Source organism: Homo sapiens, chromosome 13 (genome assembly GCF_000001405.40).
Source record: "Homo sapiens chromosome 13, GRCh38.p14 Primary Assembly".
NCBI lineage: Eukaryota > Metazoa > Chordata > Mammalia > Primates > Hominidae > Homo > Homo sapiens.
In genome coordinates, this window is record NC_000013.11 from 68,289,411 (window position 1) to 68,307,294 (window position 17,884).

Consider the following 17,884-nt stretch of genomic DNA (forward strand, 5'->3'; position numbering starts at 1 on the left):
CTTATTTTGATTATTTTACATAGATGATGTCTGAGATGTTTTGCATCTCAGCTATTCAGCCATAAAAGTAGAGCCAGTTGATATTTTGTTTGTAAAATTTATTTAAACATAAAATCCACTTGTGTCAACAGATTTATAAAATAATATTTTGAAACACATGAATTTGGTTTATGTAATTTTGCTTAGCATTTCAAGTTTTTTTAATATGAAATAAATAAGCTTGAATGTATTCACATCTTCTAGGAAAAGCCGAAGATTGCCATGGCTATGACCTGCTTGTTGTTTGTTCAAATCAATGTATTTGTCTTGTAGTCTGAGCCACTTTGTTATGAAGATACATGTATTTTTCTTCATCATAATTGTGACTAGGCTGCTTGATCTTTTCATGTTCTTGTAAGACTTCATGAACAGTCTGACACTCTTTTGAACTGGAGGAAGGTGCTTTCCTTGTGTGGCAAGAATAATAAATCTTCCAGCTGTAGTCTCCACCCTGGTATGCAAGGACTCACACTTATCAAACTCAGCACTGAAGTCATCCTTGTAATTCTGATGTTGCTCATGGGAGACCATGGCAATATATTTTATCAAATAATCTGGGATTTCAATTTTTAATGAAGTCTCCATGGAAGCAAATGTTTCATTGGAATTCAGACTGCAAGTATTTCATTTGCAACTTTTTCTTCCCTTTTAAAGACCTCCTCCTTTTCCTCAGTAGTTTCAAGATCAGCCTTTTTTATTTGATTTCTTTCCTTAGGTTTTTTTTTTTAAATCTTTTTAGATTTTGTTTTAGAATTTATGTGAGACGTTAAATGGTTTTCTCATAGAGGCTTTGGATGCTTTAGTAGGATTGAATCAGAAAGTAAATTTTCAGTGAAGTTCTAGAAGTATGTCTTGCTGGTCCTCAGAGATGATATCATTTTGATTAAAACTGTTAGCAGGTAGGCTTTGTGTCCTCTGGCCTTTTATAGTGGTGAGGGAATTGGAGTTAAAATTTACAATCAGAGGAAGCTTTGAGATGGACAGGTGGGTTGAAGATACAGATGGAGGCATGGGAATGTCAGCAGCTGTGAGGAGCAGAGAGACCTGCAGCAAAGTTTTCACTAGTAAGATTTAAATGACCATTTAATATTAATTGTATTCTCAATTTGAAGTGAAGTAATTAAACTTTTTCATTTCTTAAAGAATGAATTAAATCTGAATCCAAAAGCCATTTCTGAGGAGGAACATATATATATACAGCATCTCTACTAGAACATGTAAGGGCTTCTGAATGGCTGCTGTCTCATCACCCTGAGACACATTTAGTTTTCTAGAGATCAGAAACTCCTATGACTGTCTTTGTTATTGTATCCAGGCTAGTCTCTTTGAATCTCTTTAAAAACAAACATAACATCTTAAAGTATATGAAAGATCCTTAGAATTCCAGCTGGCTATTTGTTATAGAATTGTTCTGAGGAGGATCTTGTCTTTTGGAATGGTGCTGTTCTCTGCAGTGGAGCAAGGAGCTCAGATGTCTTGCTGGCCTGCAGTGTGTAAGTGCATCCCCTTCTGGATAGCTGCTGACAAGGACTGCTGTTCACATGTGTTCTGAATTGTATTTGCAGGGTTCATGGATGAAAATATTTTACTCTTAGGCACTGTATTTAGAATAGGTTCTCCAAAATTTCACCCTTTTTTCAACCACTTTTCCTTCTTCTAACTGAATCTCAAGTCAGTTCTTATGAATTAAAGTCTTCCTGCTTGGAATTAAATTCTTGTGGCTCTGATGAGTTTCCTATGCTGGGGTCACCATTTGGATGAGCTTCACATGCAAAGTGGAGATGTCATGGCTGTCACCTGTGGCACTACTCCTCCCACAGGCTCCCCACCTCACCTCATTGTCATCATCTAAATTCTCCAGCCCTACCTGCTCCAGCTCCATTGTGGCTTTTCCAGCTACTGCCACAGCTACAGCTGGTGTGCTGCTGGTTTGGTTAATTTTGAGAAAGAAAACAAGCAAACAAACCTCAACAACTTCAAGATAGTTTCCTTCTAGAGTACACAGATATTTAAAAAGGCACAAATATTTATACATGGCAATTGTTTTAACAATTCTTTCTAGAAATAATCTAAATCTTTCTTAATCAATAGATGTTTTCTTTTTGAGTCAATGAACCTGAATATATTTAAAGAAACAGTTCTAGGCTGGGTGTGCTGGCTCACACCTGTAATCCCAGCTCCTTGGGAGGCCAAGACAGGTGGATCATTTGTGTCCAGGAGTTCAAGACCAGCCTGGGCAACATGGCAAAATCCCATCTCTACAACAAATATACAACTTAGCGGGATATGGTGGCACATGCCAGTAGTCCCAGCTACTCGGGAAGCTGAGGTGGGAGGATCACTTGAGTCCAGGAGGTGGAGGTGGCAGCGAGCCAAGATCTCACTACTGCAGGCCAGCCTGGGTGACAGAGCAAGACCTTGTCTCCAAAATAAAATAAATATAATTCTAGTTGATCGCTGGAGGACTATAATCCATAAATCTTTTGAACAACCTAAGTCATATTAGAAAATATAAATTTGTACATAACAAGAATGGTTATTGAGAAATATTCATGTCATACACTCTACCTGAACTATCAAGCAGAAATTCACTTAAGTGTTACTCTATAATAAGTTCCTTTTCTTTAAATTATTTATCTTAAATCATTTTTTGAATAATTGTAGCAAATTCCTAAGAACTCTGATAAACTTTGCTAGACAGGCATACATTGTTGATACCATTGTCTTTAATTTTTCTGATTTGATTTAGCAGTGATATTAGGCAATATTCCATTTCTGGAGTATTTCAGATATTAAGCTTAATACACTTTCATTTTTTTAGTTGCATAAACAAATTCTATGAGAAAACTTTCTCACAGTGCTAGTATCCAGAATTATAACAGCTATTAAACAGTGGCATATTTCTTGCAACAAATAGCACCTATCACACAGTAGCCTTCATGGCTTCTAACCTTCTAGCCTTCCCAGAGTATTTTAAAACTTCCATTAAATTATGTTCCAATTCTGTGCTTTTTTTGGGAAAACTAGTTTATTAGATACTCTTCAGTTATGACATAATTTTTTTTCATGTGTAGTGACTGCATTAATTTGGATAAATGCTAAATAATCATTAGACAAAGATACTCAGGATATAATGATGTGTACAAAATGTATTTCTTTTTATTTAATAATATAGAGCAGAGGCCAGCAAAGTTTTTCTCTAAAGGACATATGGTTTCTGCTACAGATATTCAGCTCTGCTGTTGTAGCATGAAAATAGCAGTAGACAATAAGTAAATAAATGAACATGGCTGTATTCCAATAACACTTTATTTACAAAAACAGGCAGCAGGCAAGATTATGCTTGCAGGCTGTAGTTTGCCGACTTGATGTAGAGGGAAGCAGTCCAGGGCCGACAGGCCAGCTCTGTCATTCTCAACACAAGGCTGTTGTGATTTCTCCAGACATCACCAATCCCAGCAAATCACTCAAGTATTATCTGCAGCAGGGAAGGGAGAAAGAGAGCATCTAGGGTTATAATCTATAAAGACAAGATGGCAATGTTCTTCACTCACTTCCCCCGGTGCATATTTAGCCAGTGGTCCAAAGGAATGAAATTCTAACTGGGTACCCAAAGGTGTGAGGAAAGATCCAGGATTCTATAACTAAAAGAATGAATTGGAGAATGGATACTGGGAGGCTGTTAATCAGCTTTTACTTCATTCCACATCTCCCTCACCTTGAGCACACTTATTCTTTCTCTAAGGGAGACAGTCCGAAATCTCATTCAGCTAATGCATTTGGTTGGAAGTCTGGGATATCTGCACAAGGCTAAGTTGTCTCTCTTGCACGTGGATGTGGCTTTTTGAAATCCAGCTACTGTAACTTACTAAGTTATCTTGCTTCTTTTCTAACTCAATATTTAAAAAGAAGTAGGAACAGGATAACTGCAATGAATGCTCTCATTATAAACTAGAAAATGGAAACACACAGCCATTTATAAAATATTGCTTGTCAGGGATTTTGAATAATGCCTGAAATGGTTAAACAGAACCTGAAAATTTGTTGGGTCTAGGACACGAGTACAAAAGGAAGACCACATATCTAATCATATATAATTATTTTATATATGCTGTGCTGTTATATATAGTTTTGCTGTGCAATTATTTAAAAGTTATATATAGTGCTAATTGTTAAATAAAATATGTCCCATGGCCCTAACTTGAAAAATACACAACAAAATGTTTAAAAATGCAAATCAATAACCTTTGTAATGTTGAAGGTCAGTTACTTATTAGAACTACAAAGTGTAAGTACAGTATTAATGTACAAGTTTGGGTGTTCTGTTAATGGATCACTGATGTTTGGATGACAATCTAATTTCATAAATGTTTTCTGTTGGCAGTGTGCTTTGTTAGACAACTCTTCTTGAAACACTTCAGATTGCAGTTTTGGATTAAAATCAAGTTGGGAAAAAATGTCTCTTTGCTGAGTCAGTAGCAACTGAAATTATTAATAAAATTTATAGAACCATATTTATATACAGAACTGTAACATGACTTTTCCATGTGTTTAAATTATGTCTCAACATTGCAGAAAAATTTCAAAAATATTTGAATCTATCATATAAATTACTTTTTCTTATATAATGATTCTTAAATGAACATTGAGAGCCATGCTATATTTCTTATATTATTTTTCATTCAAAATATTCACTGCTAGGATATTTTAAAGAAAAATGAAAATAATAATATGTTGCTTAATTACTTTTATGCCCTCTTCAATGAAGACTGCATCTTGAATTATTGTGGTCCTACAAATAATCTTTATATAACTTTTAAAGGTTTATTTGCATATGAATCTTTTCACTTTCATATTTTTATTTCCTTGTTTTAAGCTCTCTTAGAGATATTATATTGAGCCATCACGCTTGTTGAATACTTTACATATGCTTTCTTTTGATTTAGCCAAACTATTTTTTCTAAATTATTAAATAGTATTTAAAAGTAGAATAGCGAAACATAAATCTATTTTGTAATCTTTTGCTAGTAATATTCACAATAAGCAAGAGTTCAAAGACATAACTTGAATATTCAAAATCAACTTTGATATTTGTCATTGGCTAAAGTTTCCTTTTTATGTGAGTGTTTCATTATATTTTTTTACATCTTGTGTTGAGGAGAGAGAGAGAGAGATCAATACATAGGGCTTCTGAAGCCCAGGGATCCGGGCAGTGCCCTCCATGATTGGATCTAAGAGTGCAATTCACAAGTAGTGGAGTTGCTTCTTGGTGGCCCCATAGGCAGCCCAGAGTAATGCTTTATAATAACTTCTCTGTGCATTTTATCATTTACGGTACCTGGATTTTTTTCCACTGTTTGGGTCTTTCTTACCTATTGTCCTTCATGATCATATTTAAAGTGGGTGTTAAAAAGTGTGCTTTTCCTGGAACTTCATAATATTCATAACACACTTCCTGCTGCTGTAGGTTTGGATGACTGAGGCATACTTTAAGAATTAAATAATTGTATGCTTCTGTTTTCTATACTGTGGTTTCTTTAACAACGTGCTTTCCTAAAAATAGATAAATAAATAACTCTTGAATTATTTGTTTCAATAAATCATGTGAAAGAATAAATACACAAAGATCCTTTCTGGACATAATTCTAACCTGCAAAATTTCCAATTTTGTTTGCTGCGTTTTCAGGCTATGATATCTGCTACATCACAACACTAGTGCTTAAACACTAACTAAATGTTACACATTTTACGGTTTTCATTACAGCAACAACAAACTATTGGTTGGAATATGTGTTATGCTGTTGCAATAAAAATAACTTAATCTATAATGGCCTTACAAGAAGTTAAAGTTTCTCTTACATGTAACAGTCTAGAGTTAGTAGTCCAGGCCTAATGGGGTGGTCATTCTACTCCCAGTACCTAATTCCCAAGGTTGTTTCACTTGTTGACATTTCCCTGCCAGTACAAATAAAGGAAGAAGTGGCCTAAAGGTGGCACTGAATTGTCAATATAATTTGTAGATATGTATTAGCTCAATTTTTAGCCTGGTTTAATTTTTGTAGTTATTTTTGTCGTTATTGTTGCCTGAAAGTGTAAATGCAAAGAATGGCAGATATTTTTATTTTACAATCAAGGAGTGAGCATTAGAAGACACTTTTTTTTTTTTTTCGGAAAGACAGCACCTTTATCTGCTACATTTTCTGTGGCTTCCTCAAGTTAAGAAGCTAAAACTCATTTTTCCAGTTTTCCTTGCATCTACAGCTCAGCAATGCAAATTATACTTCTCTAGTTAGATGTATTTGTTCAAGATGCTTGTATAGAATAGTTACAACAGCAGATACTCAATCATTTCCCTCTTGTGAGTGTAGCAAAGTATGACAGAAGTATTCTTCTTTTGAGGCAGTGATGCCCGAGGTGGTAGCAGAATTAGCTCATACCCAGTATCAATGGTGCAAACTGAGACTCTTGGCTCACTAGCACTGTCAGCTGAATCTCATCATGTATATTTTTATTTCTGTAAATCATTGGGGAAATATAATTAAAACAAAATGTTCTACTAACCAGAAAACCTCTTGATAAAGGTAGTAAAGAAAGAAAGCAGTTTTATTATTAAATAATCCTTCAACCAGAATGTGTTGCCCATAACAGATAATCGCTAAGAGATTGCAAAAACAGAAAGAAATCTCATCCTTTTACATAAATAAGCAGATAAAACCCATCACATACTTGTTGTCAAGATAAACTATTACTAGTCTTTAAGGAGGAGGACTTGAACACGCCATTGGCCCTATGTCATTTATCCTAGATTCACCTGGTAATTTGGGTGTTCATCTGTGTTAGCTAATTGGCTTTATACAGAGGAAAAACTAAGTTGTTATATCTTGATAAAACGAAGTAATTTTGCAACTTAGAGCAAGTCTTCCCTTAAAGTTAGGCTCCTATCCTGCCACAGAGACTGGGAGATAAGTTTGCTATCTTCCCTGATATTTACATTTCTGTTTCTGAGTCCTTGTAATTTTCAAATGGAATTATGCGTGTTTCAGAGAGAGGAAAATGTACTTAATTAAAAGTTTTCTAAGGTAAATGCTCTCAGAAAAATGGAGGGAAAAAAGTGTCTTTTGTTATTTTCAAAAGAGAGAAGTAAGCCTCTTATTTTAAGTCTTTATTTGTCCTTACAATCTGTAGTCTGTGGTCCTAAATCTTTTGTCCTCCAAATTTTTGTGAATTTTCTAATATACAGTAAAATACTTTTTGTTATATATTTCATAATATAACTCAAGTGGGGTTCTCTTACTTGCAAATAGTTACCTAACTGACAATAATATATCATCATCTTATTTAATCCTCATAACAACTCTAACAAATAGGAGCTTATTTGTAGAAATTATAATTTCAAAGATACTTACATAGCTTACCAATTATGTAAATACTGAGTGAATAGTTGAACTGTGATGTGAAACCAGCTCCATTTGATTCTAGACCATTGCTCATAATCAAGACATTCTTATATGTTTCCTTTCAAAGTATTTGACTAACAACCACTTAGGCAATCAAATTATGCTAAGGCTGTCTCATTTGATCAATTCCCTGTCTTTCATTTAAAAATAACTTAGAGGTAACACTCAAATGACAGTGTGTAAGTTTTAGTTTCCCTGAAAAAGACATGTGTGCCTGTGTGGGTGTGCGTGTGTGTGTGTGTGTGTGTGTGTGTGTGTGTGTGTAGTGGATGTTGATTATTATTTGGCCTATGAAGCATCCATTCCCATCTTATGTTAAGAGCCTGACAACTTCATCAACTTCATTTGACATGTTATCTCTCCCCAATTATGTTTGCTTTAAGTGGGACTCTAAAGAAAGGAGTTTTTATTATAAGCAAGATAAAGAAATGACACTTAACAAAATCTGTAACAATTGGACTTTGTCTCTTGAAATCTGGAGTCCTGACCACGATATAGGTTTAAATATGTATCAGAAAACCTGCCCTGTATATCCATGTAACAAACCTGCACACGTATCTTAAAGAAAAAAAAATTAGAAAAGGAAACTCGAAGGAAAGAAGGCTTAAAGACATAATGATATATATTTCAAATCAAAACAGTTTGGGGGTAGACAATGGGCCTGGCATGGTGGTTCTATAAACCCCAGGAATCAGATTCTTTCTCCTTCTCCTATGCTCTCTCCAGCACATGGCTTCCTTTCCCAATAATGTTTCAGGATCAGGGATAGAGCCCCAGGCATCCCATTTGCCTTTCAGGTAGTAGCACAGAAAAAGGCGAGGAGGACAACAGATAAGTGCTAGATAGCTGAGACAGTAACCTTTAAGAAGTTTTCCAAGATTTTCTTTATAGCATTTCCATTGTTGTGGAATTAGCTAGAACATAGTTACAACACATGGTTTAGTGATTACAATAAAAACAAAGAAGGATGGGAAATGTTTAATTTTTTTAGGTGAAGAATCTCAACACAAAAAGTAAGAGCCTATTACTAAGAATAAAAGAAGAGCTATTGAGTATGAAATTAGAGGGACAATAATTGAAGATGGTCATTTCAGTGGCAACACTTTGCTTAAACTGACAATATTTCCTGTCTTTTATAAGAGATAATTTGGCTCTGTCCTTTTTTATGCCTGGTTCTCCATGTTGCCTGATGATTTCATGAGCTCAATAACTTTCTAATAAATTTATTTTCTAATTAAAGCAAGATTATAAAACTATGTCTAACCCAAGACAACTTAGGATCCTATACCAAATTTAAAGGAATTTCATCCTGATTGTATGGACATGTGTGGGCTTGCAATATTGCCAAACATTGTGTGGCAGCCAGACGTCATAGCAAACAAACAAATTTGGATCTACAGTAAAGTTCAGAGGCACACAGATTTACAATTTGAATATGAACACTTAACAAAACTTACTAACCTGTCAGGTTCTATTAATTGACCTTTGGAGAGTAGAGTATTAGCAGTTTATGAAGTAAACATCCTTTAATAAAAGCTTAAAAATGACTTTTATATTTTATATAATTATATAAAATATTAATGCAACATTTGTGGAAAACCTGAGGAGCATGCATTAAAGATTGAAAAATACTGCTTAAAAGATAGTAGAGAATAATTACATTTGAGGAATGGTAGAGATACCTAAATTTTATCAGCAACATCTTAAATTCTTGGTCCTCAATTTCATCATTACTTTCTTCTCTGTTTTTTTTTTTTTTAATAGAAGGTGAGGTGCTATAAAAGTAAATGATAAAAATTGCACTGCCTCCTAGGGATATTTTCAAGCCATGAAGTAAAATCTATATAAACATGGACATGGTTTAGTGATTGCAGATATTTTATTTTTCTAGAATAGAACGTTATGATTTTATACTGAAGTCTCTGACCACAAGCCATGTAAAGAAAACATAAAATCATCCCTTCCAGAAAACTCTATCTGTAACCCTTAACAAAGCAGAGTACATATGCTTAGACAATAATTTTCCAATTTTTGTTTCGATTTTTAAACGTATATATGTTAAAGTTTTAAATGTTTAAGAAATAATTAATAGTTTAATGTTTCTATGCACTAAAAAAAAGTGCAGCCTTAGTCAAAGAAAAAAACTTGTTACCACAATATTTCTTGCATCTTCACAGATTGCTTCATCAGTTTTTTCCACACTTACTAATGTCACATTTGCATCAATAGCTGTGAATACTGGGAACTTGTTATATCTGACTAATATTCTGTGGTTACTTTAATTGGATAATATATATGAAAAGATTCTGGTCTTGTTGTCCACATGCTGTAACAGACCTTAAATATGATGGTAGATTTCAAAGTACCTTATAGTTTAAAAATAAAATATAATCTATCTAAAGACAACAGTTTTTCCCATTTAAATGATTATACATTCTTACATGACATAAATTTTAATACCTTAGCTTTTAGTAACAACAACAAAAATGCTAAGCAGAAATGCTTATTATATATTGCTGAGTTATTTAGTGGAGGCAGAAATAACTAATTTTTCATGTAGAATTCTCAATAAAATATTCCGAAACTCAATTTTTAAATGACATCATTCACTTCACTTCTTTTGGTGAAAAACTTGCGTTAAAATGAAATTATTCTAGAATTATGATGACTATAAATCATTGACAGTAAGGGACACTTTCAGACAGATAAGAATTCAGTGTGTTTTAAAAATTTCCCTTGAATATTTGAAATTATGTTTTAAAAATTTTGGAAAAATAGAAATTCACACACAGAAAAATATCAACATTATTAAGAAAAAGGCAAAAAAGTTTTAGAAATGTGTGTGTATATATATACATATATATATAAAACTTGGTATCATTAGTATAACAGACACAACTGAATATTTCAAGTGCAGTTTTCTTGCATGTGTGTTTAAATTTTTCCTTCCCAAACCTGAAATGGATTGCATAGGGAATGAATTTGCCTTGCCTCTTCTAACTATCCTTACAGATCAGCAGCATACATATTTTGTCCCCACAGAGTCTTTGCTTCTAGGTACATCATAGATACATTCTCCAAGAAAAACTTATGTATATAATAGGTTGAGAGAAGTTTTGATTTAAAATGGGAAAATAGTTCTATTAAAGCAATACTCTTTCTTTAAACAGAGTTTCCTGTAGCCCTAAATGTCCTAAAAAATATTTAATCAATAATTGCTAAATTTTTAACTATTATACAACTGGCAACATGAATCCTTGAATCCAGGTGTGTAATTCAGAAATTAAACCCTGATCACAGTTGGAGTTAAGAACCACTCTGGCGTATTTGAGAAATTGCCTCTCTCTAACAGGAAGGAAAAAAAAAACATTAAAAGTATGTGCATTCATATGTATTTGGTAGGCACCAATGGATTTGAGATATAAGGGGAAAAACTTAAATAATATTTTCACAAAGCTAATCTGAAAATGTGCTAGACAGTGCCATTGGCCTGATTAATGAAGCTTTTATCCCATATTCTTCACCTAGAATATCAGATTTTTTGGATATAATAAGGACTGTCTAAGCAATAACAAACTGACTTTTAAAAATCAGAAAAGCATCTCAATAGTTGTTGAGAAAACTGTTGACAAAATTTAATGCCCACTACTGATTAAAAAAAAAAAAAAAAACACAACTCCCGGCCAATATAGAATAGAACGGAGGTTCCTCAACCTCATAAGGTACATCAAAGAAAATTACGACTAACATCATACTTAATGGAATAACCATATTATATGTCATTTCATAATATTTTCGCTGTTTCTTGGAACCATTGTTGTATAGAACATTACTTTTCTTATATCTTCTACCAACTTAGCTTCAAAAATCGGCTCTTCCTAAAACATGCTACTTCCTTTAGAACACAGGCAAAGCAGAGGAGGTCCCCATCACCCAATATTTCATGTATCATTAATTTATGAGCCCTCAGATATTTAAAAATAGCTTTCTGTTGCTTCAGTTACATTTTATCAATAATTACAATTCTCAGGTCTCAGATCGCATCCTTAATGTCTGGCACTTATTTTTGTGGAAAGGAGCAAGCCTTGAGTTTTCTGCTTTTTAAAATAATTTGCATTTTTATTTATAATGGTTATTGAAACTGTTTTCTTTCTTGAAATGTCTAGATTTCACCAAGATAACGTCAGCTTGATTACTAATGCGAGATGTTTAACCTGTTTTCTATTCTACCAGGTTCAATGTTATCACATTATATTTTTCTTTGTCCTTCCTAAGTTCTGGAAGTTGTATGTTCTGAATTGATACTAAAAAATAGTTTATGTTTGAAAGTAGAAAAGAAAGTCTTACCTTTCTTATAAAACAAGATACATATATTCAGCATCATGATCAGACTTTTGTGTTTAGCAATCAACAACATGGGACAAAAAAAATTATATATGAGAACCCTTTGTTGGAATGCTTTACACTTTCTATAGAACAGAAACTAAAATAACTTGTTATACAATTAGTCACAAATACAGTTCCTTGAGTTTTTTTTTTCCCATACACATGAGTATTGTCTAAAACATGTCTTCTTTGTAGCAGTGAGGTCCTGCCACCACTGGGCTTGGCTGACTCCACAAATCTTGTAACTTGTAGCTTCCCCGTCACTTCTCTGGCCCTCCTCTCCTGCTAAACTTTGTTTCCTGACAGTAATTAAAATCTTCTGTCACTGCCATAGCTACTGATGCTACTGAAACCATCATAGCCACCCTAGGCTCATAGTTTGGCAAAGTATAATATTACCCTCCACCATCATAGAGGTCAGAGCTTCTGCCTCTGAAGTTTCTGCCCTTCATGTGTCCAAAATTTGAAGATCGGTTATTATAATTGCCAAAGTCATTATAGCATCCACCACCTCCAAAACTACTCTCACCATTACTAAATCTGTTATAGCCAAGCCTGCTGTCACTATATCCACCATCACCATGGCTGCCACCAAAGCCACCTGGACCACTGAGGTTTTCTCGATAACCAAAGTTGTCATACCCACCAAAACCACCTCCACGGCCACTTCAAGAAAAGTTTTAAGAGCCACTTCGACCTCTTTGGCTGGGTAAAACACCAGCCACCTCTTGGTTCCACAGGGCTTTCCTTGCTTCACAGTTGTGACAATTCACAGGATGGTATTTCTGAATAACAGTCTTATCCAAGGAGTTATGATCATCAAAATGAACAAATGCAAACCCCTTTTCTTGCCACTACCTCGGTCAGTTATGATTTCAGTCACTTCAATTTTTCCCATCCTATTCAAAGTAATCTCTTAGGTGATGTTCTTCAATGTCCACCAACAAAGATCTTCTTTTTAAATAAAATTTATCAAAATGAAGAGAAATGAAATATTTATGATAGTGAATCTTCCCATTTATAAGCACAATAGATTTTTCTAATTATTGTCTCATTTATTGTCTTTCAGTCTACTTATGTTTTCATAAAGGTCTAATATTTCTAGGTGTTTATTTTGTTTGTTTGTTTGTTTTGTTTTTGCATATTGAATCTTTTTTGCTTCAACTTTTATTTTAAGTTCTGGGGTACATATAGAGGATGTGCAAGTTTGTTTCACAGGTAAACATTTGCCATGGTGGTTTGCTGCATAGATCAACCCATCACCTACGTATTAACCGCAGCATCCATTAGCTATTCTTGCTGATGTTCTCCTCACCCCCAACAGGCCCCAGTGTGTGTTGTTCCCGTCCATGTGTCCATGTGTTCTCATTCTTCAGCTCCCACATATGAGTGAGAACATTCGGTATTTGGTTTTCTGTTCCTGTGTTAGTTTGCTTGAGAATAATGGCTTCCAGCTCCATCCATGTCCCCGCAAAGGACATGATCTCTTTCCTTTTTATGGCTGCATAGTATTCCATGTTGTATATGTACCACATTTTCCTCATCCATTCTATCATTGATGAGCATTTGGGTTGATTCCATGTCTTTGCTATTGTGAATAGTGCTGCAGTGAACATATGGATGCATGTATCATTATAATAGAATGACATATTCCTTTGGGTACATACCCAGTAATGGAATTGCTGGGTTGAATGGTATTTCTGCTTCAAGATCACAAAGATCTTTTTTCACAGTTAAGTGGACACCTGGTCTTTGAGAATTTTGTCTTAGGGCAGCAGCTGTCTTTGGCTGCACAACTCTTCTATCCACTTTTTCTGTCCTTGCATTCATGGCTGCTTCTGCCTCTTCCACAGTGGCATATGTGACAAACCCAAAGCCCCTGGAATTCTTGGTGTTTGACTCTTATACTAGTCTGTGAGCATTCTGCCTTGCTCAAAATGGCTCCTCAAACTATCTCATGTAGAGCTTCCATAGCTGTCCAGGCTCTTTAGGAGACTCTGACTTAGACATGACAGCAGTGGAAAAGAGACAACGATGCTTTCCTGGTGGCGTCCACAGGCAGAAAGGATGTTACAAAAGGTTTAACTTTTTGGTCATACCTTTTGGATCTTGGTTTTATATACTAAGGGGATCAGTTCCTATCATATTTTCCAACTAGGCAGGTTACCATTTTTTAAAGGTGAACCACGTATTAGCAATAATTTATTATTTTTGATTTAAAAAATTCTATCTCATAATACCACAGTTACAGGATATTCCTCTGGCATATATTTTCTTTTAGATGCTATTATCTTTATTAATTAAAAATTATCTTGAGAGGCTTTTAGACATTTATGTTAAATTGAATGTTTATGGTCTATTTGTCTTCTTATAGATTGGATAGATAGAAAGATTGGGAAGCTAGTTACAAAGGTTGAATTGGAAGTTAGAATATAAATGTAAGACTCTACTTTAAAATCTGAAATTAACATATTTAGTAATATCATAATTGCTATCAAGTTGAACTATGGGAAATATTATGATCCGTAGTTGGGAATCAAATATTTACTAGTTGTATGAGTTTGATAGCTTTCCTTGATTCTTTTAAGCCTTAGTGCTTAATCTAAAAAAACGGGATAGTAGTATTACAAAATCAGAGTGTTTTGACAATTAGATGATATAATTAATGTAAAATGTGTAGTAGGATTTTAGTGAAGCGTTTTTAATGACAATGGACTATTAGTATTTATTACTTTAAAAATAATCTCATAAATCTTGTTATTCATGTAACTAAATGTAATTACTATTATTTTAGTGCAACCAAATATAGCATTTCTAAATTCAGTTTGCTGAAAATGCAAGGATAAAAGGATAATATAGAAAGTTGCCCAGAGCAACTTTCATCTCCAATTTGCAAATCTATGACCAGAAATCTCAGATAATTGGAACCTTACCACCTGGAAGATTTTAACTCTCCATTAAGGCCTTAAGATATCTAAAGTGTAGGTCAATAAACTGCTGAGCTGTTGTAATTGGACCCTTTAACTGATAATCATTAACTCGGAAGCAGGACAGTCCTTCTTTTATCAAAACAGAGAACAAACAAACAGAAATCCTCAAAACCAAAATCCAAAAACAAAAATGAAAAACCAAAAACTTATAAAGAACTGAAGGAAGGGAAACAAGTGTCTGATTTCCATTTTATCCTCCTCCATTAGGTGGCAGTGTGACTGTGGAGTATGAATTCCCACTAACCCTTTATACATTAGGGAAGATTTCAAATTGTTTCAGTCATAAAAAATGGCTTTTTTTCAGTGAGGTCTAAGAAATTCACAATTTAAAAAAAATTTAATAGCTGAAAGCATGGATCTGGAATTATGAAATGTTTTATTACCCCTCATTAACATAAAATAGCTTAGATAATACTGTGACATATTGTATACATAACAATTATATGCATTACATGAATAAGCATCCTTATTTCCCACACACCATATACATGAGCATTTCTACAACACAAAACTTGAAATTATAATTTCATTTGTTAGTCAGTGAATAACTGATAGAGAAAAAAGATGTGATTTATCTATTAGTCTTTGGTATTCAGAGATTCTTCTGTTTTTTCTAGAGGAGAAAAGGCCTCAAAGAGTGCTGTATTGGCATGGATAATTTTTTTTTTTTTTTTTTTTTTTTTTTTGAGTTGGAGTTTTACTCTAGTTGCCCAGGCTGGAGTGCAATGGCGCGATCTCGGCTCATGGCAACCTCCGCTTCCCGGGTTCAAGCGATTCTCCTGCGTCAACCTCCCGAGTAGCTGGGATTACAGGCATGCACCACCATGCCTGGCTAATTTTTGTATTTTTAGTAGAGATGGGGTTTCTTCATGTTGGTCAGGCTGGTCTCGAACTCCCGACTTCAGGTGATCCGCTTGCCTCGGCCTCCCAAAGTGCTGGGCTTACAGGCGTGAGCCACCGCGTCCGGCCAGCATGGGTAAAATTTTAATAGTCAATTTATAATGTAAACATACTGAGTGATGGAGAAAGAAAACCCCCCCCAAAATAGGGAAAGGAAGTGAAGGGGAAGCATTCGCTTAGAGTCAAGATACAAATTATTATTATTTAATTTTATTAAAAATTCAAATGAGTCTGAGCTAATGCTGGTGGGGGTTATCAGGTGGAAAAGGATGCACAGATATACTTCCTGGGGTATGTAGGTCCAAATCAGGTGCTTTAATAAGGAGTATATAGGCGTATACATGAAGGAAAATGAATTTCTGGAGAATCCAGAAAGAATGAGGTGGAAAATGAATTAAGGGAAGAAAATAAAAACAAGTCAGTTCACACTGATGTTTAGGGTACCTATAGATATATTTGTCTTAGTTGATATTGTCCATCGTATGCTGTTGAAACCCTCTTTCCATAGCAGCCTTATTTATTTATTTGTTTATTAATTAATTAATTTATTTATTTATTTTGAGATGGCGTCTTGCTCTGTTGCCCAGGCTTGAGGGCAGTGGCGCGATCTCACCTCACTGCAACCTCCACCTCCCAGGTTCAAGCCATTCTCCTGCCTCAGCCTCCCGAGTAGCTGGGATTACAGGTGCCTGCCACCCCGCCAGGCTAATTTTGGTATTTTTAGTAGAGACGGGGTTTTGCCGTGTTGACCAGGCTGGTCTCAAACTCCAGACTTCAGGTGATCTGCCTGCCTCGGCCTGCCAAAGTGCTGGGATTCCAGGCACAGCTTTATTTTCTTGTCTACAACTATCTTCTTTATTTTTTTCCTATGGTATTCATCAACTTCTTAATAGAATATAACTTAATTATTGTATTTATTATCCACTGACTACTATAACTGAAATGTAAGCATCAAGAAGCAAGCGTTTTGCTGTTTTGTTCACTAATATATCTGTAGTTCTAGGAAGGATGCCTGGCACATTGAATTCGTTTTCTTAAATCTCATGAAAATTAAAAGTATTTTTATGTAAATATAAAGAAACATGGGTAATTGAAAAATAGGTCATTCTAGAGGAAATGTTTTCTATAAGAAAAATTTTATTCTCAGTTATTTATTGTGAAGCAATGTAATTGAAATTATTTCTAATCAGCTCAGGAGAAAAGTCAATACATTTGAAAAATCTACAGAGATAAATGTGTAGACATTATCTAATGATCTCTGCACTGTTTTGATTGCTTTTTCAGATTTATTGAATTTTAAAATTGTTTTTATTTTTAAAATTAGATACAGTATATGAAAGTTTATAACAACATTAATTTTATTCAAAAAGATTTTTAAGCATACTACCTGACACTTTCATTAATTTTGAAACATGGGTTTTTCTTTTCTTTTATACTCTACTTATTCTTTAACGATATTAGTCTATTTTGTAAGTCAGTACACATTTCAATTCCTGGCCTCAACTAAAGAAAATAGCTTATGCTGGTTAGTCACTCAACTAGAGCTTGGAGTAGCACTCAAATCCTTGTTGAACAAATGAATTGCTAAACACTAGAGTGATGCATTAAAAGCATACTGAGCTTAATGAACCTAGAATAAAATGAGGAGAGTAACCACGATTATTAAAGGTCATCAACAGTTCAGCAAATGTAGAAGCTTGTCCCTATATTTCATCTTTATAACGTGAAGACTTATTTTCACAAAAGGAGTCTCATTAGGTATTCTTAATATGTGTGTAGAGTCATTAGCCTTCAAAATAAAAATTGTTGATAAAGTTGTCACACATAGAAAATCACTTTGAGAGAGCCACGAGCTTGAGAGTATACATATCAATTATTTGCCCAATGAACTAATAATCCCTTGGCAATCTTTCCTTTTTAAATATTTAAAGAAGTGATCTAAGTCCCAATATCAGGAGACGAAAGGCAGAGGATCATGTAGGGACTCATGGTTAGTGGGAGAGACTGGCTAGAATAAAGGAATGTATAACAGATTTTTAAAAATAATAATTCACTTGAAATTTTATTGATATTTTTCTCATCAGATAATACTGTATCAATTTGCAATTTCTG

At 34.2% G+C, this 17,884-nt stretch overlaps 2 pseudogenes; both read right to left on the minus strand.

The window, feature by feature from the left end:
* ELL2P3 (elongation factor for RNA polymerase II 2 pseudogene 3) lies at positions 299 to 1,620 on the minus strand (annotated as a pseudogene).
* On the minus strand, positions 13,582 to 13,950 carry HNRNPA1P18 (heterogeneous nuclear ribonucleoprotein A1 pseudogene 18; annotated as a pseudogene).